General features: G+C 38.7%; 1 protein-coding gene and 1 long non-coding RNA gene across 19 annotated transcripts in view, besides 1 other annotated feature; one reads left to right on the forward strand and one right to left on the reverse strand.

The window, feature by feature from the left end:
- The window catches only part of SUGCT (succinyl-CoA:glutarate-CoA transferase), a 903,812-nt gene that overhangs the window by 433,534 nt on the left and 451,722 nt on the right, over nucleotides 1-18,556 (forward strand). The gene's annotated exons all lie outside the window — the stretch shown is intronic.
- The window catches only part of LOC105375244 (uncharacterized), a 29,984-nt gene that overhangs the window by 3,313 nt on the left and 8,115 nt on the right, over nucleotides 1-18,556 (reverse strand). Inside the window, exons 4-7 of the long non-coding RNA XR_007060293.1 lie at nucleotides 8,470-8,682; nucleotides 4,199-4,339; nucleotides 3,450-3,700; nucleotides 866-1,038 (exon numbers count right to left, since the gene is read on the reverse strand). This is a non-coding gene — a long non-coding RNA (uncharacterized LOC105375244). The remainder of the gene's footprint in view (nucleotides 1-865; nucleotides 1,039-3,449; nucleotides 3,701-4,198; nucleotides 4,340-8,469; nucleotides 8,683-18,556) is intronic.
- Nucleotides 755-1,338: an enhancer, noted in NCBI's record as "OCT4-NANOG hESC enhancer chr7:40608892-40609475 (GRCh37/hg19 assembly coordinates)". NCBI's record gives its function as "activates a minimal SCP1, AML or CMV promoter by ChIP-STARR-seq in naive H9 embryonic stem cells {active_cell/tissue: H9 hESC(naive)}" and the evidence as "EXISTENCE:reporter gene assay evidence [ECO:0000049][PMID:30033119]".

Raw genomic sequence — 18,556 nt, forward strand, 5'->3', positions numbered from 1 at the left:
TCCTGGGACAGAGCTTCCAAATATAAATGGGCACCATAGTCGTCGTTGGTGGTGACATGGCCTGTGGGGAGCATGGCCATGAAGCATGGCTTGTCCAGACATCTTGCTGGAAAATGACATTGTAATGATGCTATGGCTCTTGGGAAACCCAGGACATAGCTCAGGTGAAGTTAATATTTATTATTAGAAAGATGATGGAGATGCTTTACATATTTTTGAAGAGATTTTATTTAATTTACATTTTATAAAAGAAAAATAGCTTCCTTTAGCCAAAAGCAGTTAATAAGTTCCTTCGTGAGAATTAGGAGCAACATTGAAGCTAAGAGAGCAGCCTCCCTCTAAAGGACTTGGGTTTGAATCCTGGCTCTGCTATTTCCTAGCTGTGTGACCTTGGGGAAGTTCATTGTCCTTTTTGAGCTTTGGTTTTCTCATCTGCAAAGCATAAATAATAACACCTACCTTTAAGGATTGTTTCAAAGGTTGTAGATAATACATGCGTTGGCCCAAGGTAACTTTTTAAAAATGAGGTACTCAATTCATGTGAGGAATGGGACTTTGGATCATTAAGAGCCTCATTGCACATATATGCTGCCAAGGACTTGTAAGTCAATTGCTTGAAATATGAATTAAGGGGGATGAGATATAGGGGTCAGGGATTTTAGATCTTAAGAAGATGAATCTAAATGTAGGACGTAGGTGATCCTAGGGAAACACTCAAGTCTCTCCTTTCCATCCAGTGGTTACCGAACCCTTGGCCAAGGCACTGCTCCCCTGATCAGTAATGTGTGAAATGTCATCCTTTCGCTCAGTATCTCTTCCCATGTGTCTTTGAGTTATATCTACCCATTTTACCCACCAAACTTACTTTTATTATCTTCATCTTGATAGAGCCAGCACATCTCCGCAGGAACTAGCTGAATCTGATTCTGCTTCTCACATCCCTGACAAAACTGTCAGCTTCATTTCCATCACAAAATCTTGGTAGCTCTTAAGGGTGTCAGAGCTCGATGTTTCCCATTCCAGGTTGAATTGGCACAGCTGGGGCAAAGAGGCACTTCCTTAAGACTTGTGAAGTGAGCAACTTGGACTGACAGATCATTGAGAAAATACAAATGTGGGTTTACATTTCTACTGTAAAATAGGAATTGTCTCAATATGGAAGGATTATAAAAAAAAAACTTTGACTTAACTCATTGATAGTTGAGAGTTACAATATAAAAAGCAATTAGACTGTCTTTTCCCTTTGACCTGTGGTCTATTCTGATGATAATCATTGCATTAAAAACCTTTTAATCATGTTAAGCCTTCGATTCTGACCTAAATGATAAAGTTGATTTTTTTAACTTAACTGATTGGAAAAATTGTTAGGCAAAAATTTATGCGATTATTCTTTCACCAATCATGAAGTGTGGTATCCAAAGTTGATGATATGTAGCTTGCTACCATAAAAAGGAAGGCTGCATTAGCCACATTGTTATAAAATCTTGCTTTCAAAGAAAAGAAAATGAGGGTTTCAAGAGAAATTACTATGTTAGGGAAGTAGCTCAGTGGTGATTGCATTATATTTTCAAAATAAGAACTTTTTTAGTTACCTGAAGTTGCTACTCCGTTTTAAGACAGACTTATTTTAAACATTTTTGGTGGACATATTATAAGCATTTTTCTCTTTGCTTGTTAGTGAGAACATACTAAAGATTAATTTTCCTGGAGGACACAGGGTTAACATATTTTTTCATTTATTTATTGAACTAATATTTGCTGAGTGCCCATGCACTATCAGTTACTGTATAAAGGGAGTCTTAAAGAGAGAAGGCCCAGCCATGTTGAGAATGGGGAGAATGGAGTTCCCAGCAGGGAGAACAGCATGAGCTGTCCCTGAGGTGGGAAAGCACTTGGCAAGTTTTGCAGAACTGAAGAACAGCGTGGTTAGAGCTTAATGTGAGACAAGGAGAATGGAACAAGAAGAGACTGGAATGCAGTTAAATGTGGAGGGACTGTTAATGTGCATGGAGCAATTGCCCTTAAGTTAAACATCACCAGGCTGCTGCACATTTTCTGATATTTGATGTATTTATTTTGTGATGTTTCTGATGTCTTTTCCCCAGCTGCTTCCTTCATTGTTGTTAATTCTTTGACTTTGCAGCAATTGTAAAATCTAAGTCTAGTGGTGTTTCCTTTATTTCTTTCTAAAAGTCTTCTGTTGGGCTGGAGAATCAGATAACCAGCCTAATTAGGATTATGTCTAAACTAAGAGTAAAACAGCGATGAGTTTGCAACAGGTACACTCCCCTCTGGGCAAAAGCTTTAGGCTCTTTTTTTTTTTTTTTTTTTTTTTTTTTCAGTTGGAGCTTTGCTCTGTTGCCCAGGCTGGAGTGGAGTGGCATGATGTTGGCTTACTGCAACCTCCGCCTCCTGGATTCAAGCGATTCTCCTGCCTCAGCCTCCCGAGTAGCTGAGATTACAGGCACCTGCCACAGTGCTATAAAAGCTGTAGGCTTTTATAAATGTACCACTTTCTTTCTGGGCCTCAGTTTCCTTATCTGTAAAAGCAGGTTACTGATCAAAATACCACATAAAGGCCGTTTCAGTTTGTAATTTGACTTACAATAAAAGATCTTTAAAACATATTGCATTGTATTATGCTTTGCATAGCTAAGCTTGCCCTTGCCACATTTTAATTATCTGCAAGCATTAACTGCTTTTTAAAATAACAGCATCCCCAAAGCATTAATATTGATGAAAATAAAGTAAAAAATTAAAGTTTTGAGAATTACTGTATAAATGAAATTAATATTTGATTATAGATCACTTATTCTGTTACTTTTTTCTTTGACTATGAAATTTATTGTGAGAAAGTGTGAACTCAAGTGCAAATTAATTTTGAGTTCCATGTCTAATCATTTCTAAATTTGGTAAATGCATGTCATTATTTTCCTATTTCAAAATTTTAAATTCTATACTTTCTGTATACAGGAGGGTTACAATTGTTCATGCACACACAAATATCTCTTAAGGGAGAAGCTGTTGCTTCTGTTTTCATGTCAGCTACAGCATTTGACATAGTATTTTGAACAAAATAAATGCTCAAGAAAATGTTTTTTGCATGAACACATCAATGAAAAAAAATTCATTGGCTTGAATCTGACTTAAATATTTGCTAAATGGATCAAGCACCACCACCAAGCTACTTTTCTGTCTTCAGAAAAGCTTTTATCAGGCACCAGTTGCTTAAAACTAAAGTGTGAATCTGTGGTATTCTTAAATTCTTTGGGATTATGTAGGAATGTGTAAAATGATGTTCAAGTGTCTCAGGAGAAAAGGGTTAGTAAGCAACACTTACATAGAAATGAAATTGTTTCAGACAGTGGTCAACCTCAGCAAAGTATTTGCAAAATAGCAATCAAGTGACTGCTCTCATTTGCTTTGGGGGTCAGAAGCTGTCCACTTACCTCCAAACCTCACTCCTCACTAATTGCAGGGATGGACGAGTGGAAGGCAGGGTGTTGGATGAGTGCTGACAGCTGTCCCGAATGTGGCATCTTGTTTCCTACGGGCCCAGGTCTGCTTAGCATTACACAGTGCTTAGCTTCGTTCAGGATGTGGTCAGTGTTTGCTGGGAGGCGTATGAGACACTGGCTTTCCAGGAGGAAAGCTCCTGGAAATTTACACCAGGCATGCAAATTTGAGTGTAGAAAATTGACTGTAAAAATTCAGGGGGGAAAAAGAAAATTTGTTGGTGTGGCAGCAAGGAAAATATTTCTTTTGCCTCCCCAAAGAAAAAGAAATTCCGCAGGGCTTAGAGTTTGTATTTGAAAAGAGATAAATTCATTCCTAGAAATATTTTGGTATCACTGGCTCTCAGGTGGCTCGTGTTCCATTCATTGGTGGTCAGAGCTTTCTGGGATCTAAGGAAGGAGAGGTGAGGAGTTGGAGGGGAGGATCTTACATGTAAGGGGAGCACGTGCGGTGTGATATAACAATCCCTGAGCCCCCCAGCAAGTAGTGAAAATTATGTATTAGATTAATCTGTGTCTAACTTTAATGGGGATTATCTTCAGTTTAAAAAGCAAAGGTAGAAAGAAGCGTTTGGGGTAAATCCTTCACGCCTCTGGAATAAATTTATGATTTTAATCTCATATTATCCTAATGTTTAAAGTATTAACTTTTTCTTAGGAATAAGCAGCTAAATTGATGGTACCTCGGGTCGCTGCTGGCTTTCAATTTCAGGGATGCTGTGATGAACGAAGAATGAGGGGTGTGTCCGATAAAAACTTGGGCCTATCTCCTTATTTCCAAATCAAATGGTGTCATTGGTAGCATCCATTGTGGCATCAAACTTCTGTGAAAGAAGAGAAGACAGGATATACACGCGGAGGCATGTGATTCATCTTGACGTCATCTGTCCTCTGCGTTATTTGGAGAGTGGGCTGAGAAACCCCGGGACTGAAGACATAGGGTAGAGTAACAAAAATGCACCCCCCACAATGTCTAAACACAAATGTTCACTTTTTGTTTAAGTGAACTTGAGCTGTGACCTCTCAAAACTGCTTACTCAGCCTTTCTTAATACCAGAGCAACTTAAAAACGAATCCCATCTTCTACCAAAACTGCTTTAGGAAGCAGCTCCTCTGGGCCCCTGGCTTTGACAGGATTCATTCTGAAATGGTCCTGTATCATCCAACCAATACAGCAAATCTGTTACTTTTAGAACAGAAGAATCCGACAGGATTTTCCAGAGGCCAGCTGTGGATCTTTAGATTGTCGTCATGTTACTCAGAACAGAACAACTGTTTGAATCAAAGCCAAAGATGTCCTTGAATCATTTAGTATCAGGGCACTAATGAGCTCTGCAGACATTTCAAATTCCTTTTCCTTCCCATCCCTCCCTCCCCATCCACCTTACCCAGGTGTGACTTAATCCAGTCTATTTTTCCCCTAAGTAATAAGCTGTAACACACATACGCTCATGCACATACACACATCCATACATACATATAGACATAAGATTTATAGGTGTATAATCTGTTTTGTATGGTGAAGTGAGGTTTCAAAACAGTGATTTTTCAAAAGCAGCAGCAGATTCTTCACTGGTCTCTTTTAATTAATAGATATGTAGAAGTAGAGCTTTGATTTTCATTGTGTCCTACGGTTTTGAGAAATGGCAGATGCCTTAATGATCTGCTAAGCCAACTCTGAGTTTTTGGAGATGAGAAAACTGAGGCTCAGAGTTTGAGGAGATTTGTCCAAGATCCCCCAGGTAGCATCTGGTAGAGCTGGACTTGAGCAGGTTGTTGACTTCCTGGCTCTCTTTCCTCTATAGCACACAATTTGAGAGCCTTATTCATGTTTCTTACTTTCTCCATTTTCTTCTGCTTAAAACTGCCTGTTTTAAATGGGCAAGTTTTATTCACCTATGATGTTTCTTTTTCTTGTTTTTCATGGCAAATTGATGAAACTGTGTTATTCTGAAGTCATATGTTATATGAGCACACATAATGTCAGTCTGGTATGCTCACTGTTCCCTGCCCCCTACCCCACTACATCTGTGTGACGAATTCCGCTTATAACCAGGGCTCAAGTCCTCTGTGAGTCTCTGTGCAAAGCAAAACTTTCCCTGGATACTCACCTCCCCTCACTCTTGGCAGCTGCTCCTCTCTCTACTCCAGCAAGCCTTTGTATATGGAAGCATGAGCATTCCTACATTCTATTGTATTTATTTATTCATTCACTTATCTCTTTTTTATCCCCAGTTCTCCAATATAGCAAATGAAACTCCTTATAAAACAAACCCCTACATAACTTAAGACTGTTTTAACCTTTATTTCCAATTTCATTTCTGAAGATATATTATGTCATCCTGAAGGTGGGCCTGTTAGTTTTGTTGTTGTTTGTTTTGTTGTTGTTGTTGTTTGAGCCAGGGTCTTGCTCTGTTGCCCAGGCTGGAGTGCAGTGGTGTGATCTTGGCTCACTGCAAACTGTGCCTCCCCAGTTCAAGAGATTCTCTTGCCTCAGCCTCTCGAGTAGCTGGGATTGCAAGCACACGCCACCACACGCTGCTAATTTCTGTATTTTTAGTAGAGACAGGGTTTCACCATGTTAGCCAGGCTGGTCTCGACCTCGTGACCTCAGGCGATCCGCCTGCCTTGACCTCCCAAAGTATTGGGATTACAGGCGTGAGCCACCGTGCCCGGCTGGGCCTGTTAGTTTAATCTTCCAAAAGATTATGAATCAGCTTCCTACTTTTTAACCGATATTTATTGAGCATCAAGTACTATGTTACAAATAACCGTAGGACTTGCTTCTGTGGACATCATGCCACGAAATCTTCACAACAATCCTGGAGAGTTAGGTTGGCCTAACTGATGTATAGATACAGAAACAGCAGAAAGAGGGCACATCTTTTCTAAAGTCTGCTGAGTGGCTAAATCTGAGATTCAAACTCAACCATTTGAACCAGTGTTTAAGATCTCCACCCCTCCATCGCACTGCCTCTGCATCCCTCCTTAACTCATTAAGCAGATTTTTTTCAGTATGCCTATACTTCAACAAGATAGAAGCAGGATGGTGGGCAGGAGGGTGGCGGGGGTGGGGGTGGAGATGGGTGAAGTTTTGGAGTAAATTCTTCGGATCGTCTGCCTCAAACATACCCCTCCAAAAGTCATCACTACCAATATGAAAGTTTAAAGTGTTATACTTTTTAAAGAAGAGGACTTAGGCCCCTTCAGCTCTCTGTTATTGTTGCCTTATCTTCTGTTTATCACTTCTCTGATTTAATTTCTTACCAACGTTATTTAAAAAACAACAACAACAACAACAAAAAACTAACCACCGAAAGATAGTTCCTAATTATCCCAGGATAGTGACGTAGGGATGGCATATTCAAATTACTACTTGATTCAAAATATGGAAGAAGTTGATGCCTAGTAGCTTCCTCCCACCAAATTTTTGTCAGAACTTCTATTTAACAGCAAACATATGTTGCATCTACTTCCCCCCACCCCACATCTTTTAATCTCAGAAGTCCTATTGGTTCATTAAGTGGCAGTATTTAAATGGGAAAAAAAAAAAAGCTAAAAATGTCTTAGGTTTCCATCACTTGTACCTGAAGAGTTAAGAGTTATCTGAGGCTGGGTGTGGTGGCTCATGCCTGTAATCCCAGCACTTTGGGAGGCTGAGGCGGGTGAATCACCTGAGGTCAGGAGTTCGAGACCAGCCTGGCCAACATAGTGAAACCCTGTCTCTACTCAAAATACAGAATTAGCCGGGTGTGGTGGCACATGCCTGTAATCCCAGCTACTCAACAGGCTGAGGCAGGAGAATTGCTTGAACCAGGAGGGGGAGGTTGCAGTGAGCCGAGATTGTGCCACTGCACTCCAGCCTGAGTGACAGAGTGAGACACTGTCTCAAAAAAAAAAAAAAAAAAGAAAAAGAAAGAGTTGTATGTAACTGTGTAATGTTTCTCCCATGTTGTAAAAACTAGACAGTATCACTGAGTTGCGACTGTCAGTCCTTTATAATTCACCGTTGCTCATGTTTGCATCTATCAGTTAGTACTGAAAAGTAAAAGGCAGGCCCTTTCATTTACATAAAATAAAAAATAAGACGCATGAAACTTTTTAGCTTTTTGAATAACTTAGCTCTAGTGGCAGAGCAGGAATGTGTTTAAAAGAATTAAAAGTGATGAGAAGTGTTTATCTGTTGATAGAACAGCAGCAGCCTGAAGATTGACCCTGCCTGCAGCTTTGAACTGTTTGATTACTATTTGTCTTCTCCCCTGCAGCTATCAAACAAGGGAAGCAGGTTTTGAAGGGGCAACAGTGAAAGAAGAAAGGGAAAAAGGTCTGCCCTCACCAGAGGAAAATGTTTCTTCCATATGGTTTGCTTAGAAGCTATTTTGTCTCACCAAAAGGATAAAAAGTCTCTCCCATGCGTTGAGAGCAGGGAACATGTGAGTCAGGGAAATCGAGGGCTCTTGGAGACCTAAGTGTTACTGCAGACTTACGCATGTGAAAGTTAGTACAAGGGCATAGGGCATGGCTGTTCACAATTTAGCTACTGGTCAGTGTTGTCCATCTGGTAAACCCGACCAGAGGCAAGAGTTGCCGGGATTGTCTTTGATTTGTATAGGCAACAGCTTGGCTGAGTTTTATTAGAGCCATTGTTTTCAAATATTTTTCTTATCATCTGAACTCTTTCATCAAATAAAATATCAATATATGAAACAGAGAGTAGCAGAGTTGCTCTGGTTGTAGTAGGGGAGAAGGCCTGGTCCCTGCCTCCTATGCTTTCACCTTCCCTCTAATAGCAGATGCTCAAGCATCAGATTTCCCCCAGGAAATAACTCAGAAACCAAACAAGGAAAGGTGATTGGTGAGATCCCTTATCATCCTATTGTCCTGGGGCCAAGGAGAGTGATGCTTACACCAGTGGTTCTTAAAGTGTAGCCCAGACTGGAAGCATCAGGATTACCTGGAAACTTGTTAGACATACAAATTCAGAATCCAGATCTCTTAGGTGGAGCCCAGCAACTGTGTTTTAATAAGACCTGTATGTCAAGACCACCAGGGTTTGAGAACCATTACTAGAGCAGCATTTCCGATTTTAAGCTTTCTCAGATTCATTGCGTAGCTGGATCCTCAGAGAGGCAGGTACCACTTGCAAGGATGTTAATACAGGAAGCACCTGTAAGAGAAAATGAGACAGGAGCTGGAAAAGACTGAGAGCTGCTAAAACTCATGCATGTCTACTCTGAGTGGAGGAGAGAGGGAAGGAAGATTGGGTGGAAGCATCCCAAGACATTAGTTCTAATATCTGGGTATCTTGTAATTGGTCTCCATTATTTGTCATTTCTCTTGCAAATCTCGTATTTTCCTGGATTTTTTTTTTTTATGGCATGTTGGGGGCAGTTGAGTAAATTCAGTAAATGTTTTCTAGTCATGAATGATCTCTTGTAGAGACTCTGTATTTTGATATACTCCCCTGAATAGTGCTGTTTTTAAAAAATAGTCACTTAATTTTGCTGAACTCAAACTGTAAACTCTCTATCTCACACCTCAAATCTTGGGTTAGTTCTCATTAGCTTTAGCTGTCAGTGCTATATGCACATCACAGGGGTCAGCCACAGTTGGAACAAAGTTTATAGACTCTGCATTTTGGGCTCCCTCCTTTCTGGAATTTCCCCTTCGCTTTCCAGTATACTTTTTTTTTAAACTGTAAGTGGTTTTCTTTTGGCATCATATTATCAAGGTACTCTATTCTAAGGAGTTTCACAGCAGTTTGAGCCTTAAGCTGATTTCTTTTGCTTTTGATTGTTTAAAAACTATAAACATTTGTTTTATTGCTTGAGCAAAATATGCCTTTCTACTGGCTTATACATTCATAAAATCAAGACTTTAATATTCATCCTGTTTAGACATTATCAACATATATTTCCTGATGAGTCAATTGATTTATTCATTAATTCTTCAAACCATTGCCCCCTTCTCTGTCTACACTGTAGACATAGATTTCTCCATTACTCTAACACATTGGTTCTCAAACCTTAGTTTACATCAAAATCATGTAGAGGGGCTGTAATAACACAGATTGCGGGGCCTCACCCCAGCGTTTCTGATGCCGTAGGACCATTCTTTGAGAATGACTTGTCTAACCCTGGTGACAAATTATCATTTGCCAGAGACAGCCCCAGTTTTTGCACTGAAATTTCCATGTCCCTGAAAATCCCTTAGTCCTGGGAAAACCAGGAAGACTGGTCACTTTGTCTAACACACTTGGCAGTACATTGAAAACTCCTGAGTACTTTTCGAAAATACTGTTGCTTCCCACTCCTCACTCTTCTTGGCCCCACCTCCACCCCTTGCCTTCTATTTAATGGGTTTGGGGTGTGGTATGGGTATCTGGATGTTTAAAAGCTGTCTAGGTGATTACAATTAGAGGTTTGTCAACCACTGCTCTAATCACAAGCCTCACCCCTCATTGGAAGAGTTTGGTACTAGCTATTCCTTCACCTGGAACATTTTTCCTCTTCAGTGGTTCTGTCCTGATTATTAGCATCAGCTGGGGAACATTTAGAAAATACCAATGCTCAGGCCCCACCTCCCAAACCCAGCAAAATGAGTCTCTGAGAATATAGCCAAGGCATTGGTAGTCTTCAACTCAGGCGATTCTCTTAGGCACTCAAGAATGGGAAGTCTTGTGATCTTCTCATAGCTAGCTCCAGTCATGCAATAAAAAAGACCTATCATTCCTATCCATGCCATTTAAATTCACCCCCACCTGCTTTCCCTGATACTTGTCAGTTTCTGATATTTTCTTTTTCATTTAATTCTGTTTATTTTTTCCTTTCCCAAATAGAATGTGAACTCCATGAAAGCAAGAGCTTTGTCTTATTTATCACAGTATTACCAGTTCTCAGAAGTGTCTAGAACATGTAAGCACCCAATAAATGTTAATTCATGCCTGCAATGTATTGAGTACCGTGCTTGGCTCCAGGGACAGTACAATAATGAACAACAACAATAATGACAACAACAGACAAAATAGTAATCCTTTCTGACCTCATAGAGCTTGCTGTCTAGTGGACTACTTCTTTTTTTTTTTAAATAACTTTTTGTGATCTGCCATTAGAACCTCAGAAAAGTAAATGGTGAAATCAATCGAGGGGACACATTTCACCACTTGAAGACCGCCACTGACACCTCACCTTTTCATGCAGTTACCAGCATCATGTTTCCATGGTTAAATGAACTTAGTGATCTATAGAAACTGAAGTAACATTTCAACCCTGCCTTATGACAACCTGAGCCATGGTTTCTGGGCTTTGTGAATTTCTTCTGTTTTCACTGGCAACTTGGGGCCATTGAAAAGCTGGGAGACAATGCAGCTTTCACCCCCACACGTCAGGCCCACGATGGAATCCCCCTGGTGGTCCAAGGACAGAGCTGAGTCTTCCTGCTGTGGTTGGGTTGCAGGAAATACTCTGCAGTCTTTCATTTCAGCCAGACAGACACATGAAAGGACCCAGGAACACAGAGAAAACATGTAAACAAGTCACATCTATTTTTATGGAAACAGACATAAATGGTGTGGGGGTGTCGTAGCACGTGGGTGTCTAGATTCCAGAGGGCTTTAGTCAGGAGACAGTGTAATGCTCAAAGCAGAAATTTAAATGAAGGAGGAACTTTGTTGGACAGGTCAGGACTGGAGCATTTCAGGCCACGTGAATGACATTGCAGAGTCTTGAGGACCTTAGCTGACATACCCAATGTGAGGCCAAAGCACATAATCCCTGTACTGTTCTTAAGGAGTCCCACCTGGAGCAGAGTAGGATGGTTTAGGGATTAGGTAGAGTCAGCATTTCTTCCTCTTGCCTTTCCTCCTGAAATAATTCACCTATCAGGTCAGGTTTATTCTAAGATTAAAGAGATAACTGTAAAGTAACTTATCCAGTGATATGAAACAATCTGCATTGCCAAATAGACACTGTGAGGAAAGAAACCTTAACTTTTGCCTAGATATCTAGTTTTATTATGTCTCTAATGATTAAGTCACTGGAAATGTTTCATCTAGAGCTTTGTTTTTGCAATGCAAAATTATAAAGAGAAATCCATTACGTGAGTGAAACATGAGCGTGAACAAGGTATATTTTTCAACATACAATACACAGAATATGCACATAGTATATAATACTGTGTGTATATAGTACATATATATCATACATACATTTATCTATCTCTTGATCAATTAGTCTATCTCTTTCATATGAAATGATAGTTTGCTGAAAGGTAGAGACCATTCTATAATACTTAGAAAATATATTTAAAATATGTCCTATTAGCATTTAAACTATTTGTGTTATTCGTGAAGGAGGTTTAAGAACAGTGCTAGAAGACTTGTAGCTTGCTTAGGTATAACATCTACCTAGCTGTATTGTCTTTTGAATTGCTTTCATTTTATCACACATATTTAACATTGCATCTCCCAAAACCCAGGCCATCCTGTGAAAAGTCAAACCATAACTTCAGAATATCCCAGGTGGTGTATTTGGCCTTGCCTCAGTAAGAAATTAGACCATCATGACTTCACAAAGCAGAGGCATTGTGGTGGGTAAAAAGAAAGGCACAGGACATTTCTTGATTAATATGTGCAGTCATGTGCCATGTATGATGTTTTGGTCAATGACAGACCACATGGACGGTGGTTCTATGAGATTACAACTAAGTTTTTACTGTACTTTTTTATGTTTAGATACACAAATACCATTTTGTTACAATTGCCTACCGTATTCAGTACAGTGACATGTATAGGTTTGTAGCCTAAGAACAGGCTATACCATATAGCCTAGGTGTATAGTAGGCTATGTCATCTATTAATAGATTTGTGTAAGTGCAGTCTATGATGTTTGCAAAATGATGAAATGCCTAACAACGCATTTTTCAGAAAGAATTCCTGTTGTTAAGCAACACATGACTGTAATTGTAGATTAGTGTGAAGATGCACTAGCAAGACATTATGACACTGTATTTTACTTCATTAAGCAGTAAAAATCCCTGTTGTGTGCTTCGCTGTTTATTTAATCATTAATTCGATACATATTTATTGAGTGTGTATTATGTACCAGGTACTGTGATAGGCACTGGGTATAATGGTTAAAATAAAATTTAAGAAAAACAGTTTACAATTAACTTGTGGAGGTAGGAAATTAAAAACTCTATAATTGCAGGTATGGTTATACAAGAATGAAAATGGTACTATGAGACACTGATGTGAGGAACATAATTTAGATGAGGAAATATGACACCTAAGTGACATGTAAGCCAGGAGGTAGTTAGCCAGCTAAGGAGTACTTTCCATTTCAGGGTTTCCAGAAAATCTGCAAACTTGACATACCTTGATTTACTTTCAAAACTAAAGGCAGAAGAGGTACAGTAACTTGTTGTTCTAGTTTTTATTGTTTTCTTGGGGAAAGATGTGGAAATTAATTTTTCCCTAAAATACATTAATCATGAAGGAAGCCACATGGCGTAATTGTGGAGGGTTACTTTATTTTTCTTTCAAGATTGTGATTTTGTCATGCATATTTAACACCTTATCTTCCAAATGATGTGTGTATATTTTTCCCCTGATATCTATCAAAGACCATTTGCAGAGGAAATAAAAAATAGGAACACCCATAGGCTAGAATATTTAAATAATTTCTGCAAGATGTAGTACAAATAGTGCCTAATTTATGGAGGCTCTGCTCATTTTGCCATTTACAGCCGGGAAAGAAAAGTCCACCTGGAAAGTGACCAGAGAGAATCTCGAGGAGTCCAAGTCACTTCTTTATTTGTAAAAACTGGCCTAAGAAATTAAATAGAAGAGACTATTGGGCACAGAAATAAATGTCCCTGCTCCTGCATGACTAATCTGAGGAAATAAAACAGAGAAAGGAAACATAAAATAAAACAAGGAAGGAAATATATAATCTTTCTTCTTTCCACTTTGGTACTGAAAGTATTGAACAGGGACATGCACAATCTCACCCAGAACTTACTGTAAATTACAGTTCTGGACAAACAGACATCGCTCTCTATAACAATAATAAGGAAAAGTCACCGAGAGAGATTACTTTCAGAAACAATAAAGAAATACAAAACCATTCCATTTTCTATAAGGTCATCACAGATTACAAGCTAAAATAGAGTCTGAATGTGGAGTCCATCCCCTTCAAAATGGTGTTACTTGCAGTACGGTGAAGTGCATATTTTGTTGGTATAATCTGTACGTGATTTCCTAACTGAGGGCATATTAACAAATTGTGTACTGGTTTTAGTGTCTCTCAACAATGAGATATTTGAATTCCATTATTATTTCACAGGCAGAACTGAAATGAGTCAATATTTTGCCACTACACTATTATAATTGAGGCACAGGGTCTTGAGTTGAATATTTTTCATTAATAAAAGTCCCATAAACATAATTCATAATTTGGGTATTTGATAATCTTCTATTTGTAGACACTATTTTTACCTGTACTGAAGGTAAGCTTGTGGCCCAAACTTGGAAATGGAGTTCCTTTCTTCGTATGCTGGAGCAGAAGTCCTCCTCATCCTCTGTTAATTGCAGCTTCAAACATCCTCATCATTAGGTTGCTGGTGCAGAGCAAGTGCTCTGGCGTCGATAACTTCAGCTTTCTCTAATGACTTTGCTTCAACTTCCTCATCTATACATTAAGGAAACTCTTCGTAGCTTCCTCATTGGGTGGGCCCTTAACTCCATGGCCGTCACAGAGCACATAGTCAGTATATATTAGCTCTGTATCCAAAAAGTTTAGAAAAGTGGTTTAATAATGTCAATACAGGGCATTTTCTATAATAGTAATGCTGGTATTATTAGTATATCCTAAATATTGTCATTTATTTTCATAAGCAATTTTGGATCAGTTGTGTTTTATGTATAAGTAAACATTTCTTAAAAATTAAATCAGCGTAATAGCAAAAACTGACTGTGAAAATACAGAACACAAAAACTAGCAGCTCAATAATTTGCCTTGCAACACAGTACCCTTAAATAACAACTAGCTGGTATTGGAAGCTAGTTGATTTCATTTTGAAATCAACAAATGAATTGAATGGGGTGGTACATCCGTAAAGGAAAATATACTTTAAAGTATTTAAACTCAAGTAAAGAGCAAAGGTGAGAAAACAGCCTTTGAAATCCTGTCATAAGGCAATATAAAAGTCAGAATCTTCATTGTTAATTTCAAGTGATTGAAGTTTTTTCTTGAGTATAGAGGGAGATAGATTTTTCAATTTTTTTTTTCAATTTTAGAAACTCTTCTTTCCTGTATGGATTGATCTTTCCTTGGCTTTTCTAATGAATACTTTTAGTGTTATACCTTTATCCTAAAGTGATCATTGAAAATCACATATCCTTTCCGTTGGTAGTTTAAATATGTCTTCCCTGGAATTGTATGATGATATTTAGTGTCATTGAGTCAATTATTTTACCTTCACATCCAGACAATTACATTTAAAATGAATTCTTAAACATTCAGAATTGAAAAGAAGGTTTCCACATTAAACCAATGGCTCTTTTGGCATCTACTACATGCCTTAATTTTTACCACATATGCATAAATTGGCAAAGTATCTTATGGGTTATAATAATCCTGATGGCTTGGAATTAATATATTGCCATCATAGAGCAAGTCCTGAGCCCATCTACTCTGAATCTTTGGATAAAGACAAAACTCCATCCTGCCATGCACCTGGTCAGTTGTGCAATGCTGACCAATACACAGCTGCTAACAATAAGGGTATTGTGCTTATGTAACCCAGTTCAGGATCTGATGGTTAGTCTCTCGATACATGCTGAAACACGAGGGAATTTTTACTTGCCAGGATGCCTGCTTCATGGAAAATATTGTGTCTATGTTGAAGCATACACTTACATCTCTCTATATAAGTTGGTGGAGTTGAATTCTACCAGATTACCTTAGCTTTCCAAGTCAGTTCAGGGTTAAGGCTCTCTCAGTCAAGAAAAGGTCATACAGTGTGGCGTCGAATGTAATTTTAGGAATTGTTTTTTGAGCACTTGTTTTATCAAGTTAACAAAAGTCTGTATTATGTTTCTTCTCATTGATGTGGGTGTGTCCTTGTGTGTGTATTATTCGAGAGAGGCTTCCATTTGTTGAGTGATCTTCATGCAAACATCTTGGAGTGCTTTACAAAAGAATTTTAAAAATCAAACCAAACAGGATATGAAACTGTGCTGCCAAACAAGTAAGTCTTTAGGCATGATTTAAATTTAGTTAATGACATAAAGAGCTAAATCTGTGAAAGGAAGAAAGTTCCTTGGATCAGAAAAAAAGCAGAAAACAGATACTCATATTTTGTCTAAGTCTTCATTTGAGTAGCTCCAAAAATGTTCTTTTAGAAGTGAAGTTGGAAAATCCCAGGCTAAGTGAACTCCAAGGAGCAGTGTTTTAGGGGAAAAGACCAGATAATAGTTCCCATGTGCATAGTGATCTACAGATTGCAAAGTGTTTTCCCAGCCATTATCTCATTTGACCATCACAACACTCCATCAAAGTAATTAAGGACAGTGTTACCCCAGTTTACAGATGAATAAACTGATGACAGGAGAAACTAAGGAATTAAATGAGGTGATAGAGCTAGATGGTGATAGAGCTGGGATTGGCATATGGATATTGTTCCAAATCCCATGTTGTATATACAGTAACATAAGGCTCCACTGTGGCGAACTATTTACACTGGATACTTTTCTCCTGCCATTATAGCTGCCTTGGGAGTGATAGTAATGACTCTGACTTCCCAGGGTATCTTAACATTCTGCTTCCTCTCAGGAGGATCTCCTGACATTCTTGTGTAAATGGAAAAGTAGAAAACCAGGATCTTCTAAGGCAAGTGCATTGTAAATGATAATTTCATGCCTTAATCTTTTCAAAACATTTAAACTGGCTTTGATGATTCACCTTTAAACTCACCCTTCAATAGTTCTCAGAATCCTCCTTGAGAAGATGAAATTGGAATGATCCCATCAGCTCTGGCAGTTGTAGGTGGATTCTAATGGTAAGGGACTGTAGTGGGGAAAATGGGGAATTCTTAATGAGCTCCCTTTCTATTGCTGACTTGAACCAAATGTAGTTATCCTTGAACGTTTGAGGATTCTATAAGCATTGTGGTTTCAGACAGTGAGTCATAACCTTGTGCCAGAGGGGTGGGTGATATAGTATCTGGATTGATTCATGAGACATATAGTGGCTTTTTAAGGTATATTCTGAAATGAGTCTTCCAGCAGTCAGGTTTCGTTGTTGTCGTCTTTGTTTTGCCTTCTTCTCTGAAAACACAATTATTTTCTCATTCAAGGTTTGGACTTTAAAAGCTTACTTTTTCCTTGAGACACCTTTAGCTTGAGACAAATCTAGGAAGAACATCGTTTTGTGATTCTGTAGATCTTTTGACAAAGTGGATCCTCCTGCTTCAGCCTCCCTGACAATTACTTTATTTTTTGTAGAGGCGAGATCTTGATATGTTTCCCTGGCTGGTGTTGAACTCTTAGGCTCAACCCATCTTACCCCACTTGGCCTCCTAAAGTGTTGGGATTTCAGGCGTGAGCCACCACACATGCCTCTAAACTTTTTTGTTTTGTTTTTTGAGACGGGATCTCACTCTGGCACCCCGGCTAGAGTGTATTGGTGTGATTATATCTCACTGTGGTCCCGACCTCCCAGGTTCTGGTGATTCTCTTACCTCAGCCTCTCAAGTACCTGGGATTACAGGTGTGCACCACCACACCTGGCTGATTTTTGTATTTTTTGTAGAGATGAGGGTTTTGTCACGTTGCCCAGGCTGGTCTTGAACTCCTGGGCTCAAGCAATCCATCTGTCTTGGCCTCCAATGTGCTAGGGTTACAGGTGAGAGCCACTGTGCCTGGCCAACTTCTAAATTTCAATGACTTATTATTTTTTTTCTTTTACCTGCCAGACCTTGGTAATCATTTCTTCTTTTAAATTTTTTTAATATAATTGTCCAGGTGGTTCAAGATCCCCTAAAAGATGCTGTATCATTGCTTAAGGTAGAATGTCTTGCACAGAATAGGAGCTCAGTCGATGTCTGCTAATTATTAGTTTTTCCTGTTCTATATAGAATTATATAGTTTTAAGTGTTAGGCAATGTTTTTAACTTAGAACTTAAAATGGAAATCACTATGATGATTAAAATATTCTATATCCTCATTGCCCAATATGGCAGCCACTAGCCGTTTTGCTTGAGCACTTGAAGTGTGGCTTCTGTGACTGAGGAACTGGATTTAAATTTTATTTAACTGTAATTAATTTAAATGTATAAAGCCACATGTAAGTAGTGGCTGCCAGACTGGATGATGCATGCTCTAAGAATGTGCAGAATGGCAATCTAAATGTGAACTGTGAGTTAGAGAAGTCCTCCTGGAGGAAGAGGAACTTGGGTCTTGCAGAAGGGAAGCAGAGAGAAGGGGTGAGGTGTTTTAAGTAAGGAATATAGTAAAAGCTCTGAGGTGATTGACAGTGTTAAATTTGGGATTAGTTTCAAGACTGGAAGTAGAGCAGAGTTTGAGCACTAGGGACAGTAGTAATAATAACAGCAGACACTTACCAATTTACAGGCCACATACTAGTTTAATCTTCACAACAATACTCTAACTCGAAGAATATAAGTAATTTGCTCAAAGGTACAAGTTGATATTGGACCTGAGATTGGAACTCATATCTGTCTAGCTCAAAAACCTAAGCTTTTAACCACAATACTGTGCTGCCTTATGATCTGCCATGTTTAGAAAGACTTACAAGTAGGAAATAGCCTAAATGTCTTTTAACTGGTAAATGAGTAAACAAATAATGGAATACATCCAATCAATGGAATACCACTTACAAATTTGAAAAGTAACAGAACTACAGATATATGTAACAACATGGATGAATCACAAATGTATTATGCTAAGTGAAAGAAGCCAGAGGTGAAGAGCTATATACTGTATATTCCATTTGTATGACGTTCTAGAAATGGCAAAATTA

Source organism: Homo sapiens, chromosome 7, assembly GCF_000001405.40.
Source record: "Homo sapiens chromosome 7, GRCh38.p14 Primary Assembly".
NCBI classification, from domain to species: domain Eukaryota; kingdom Metazoa; phylum Chordata; class Mammalia; order Primates; family Hominidae; genus Homo; species Homo sapiens.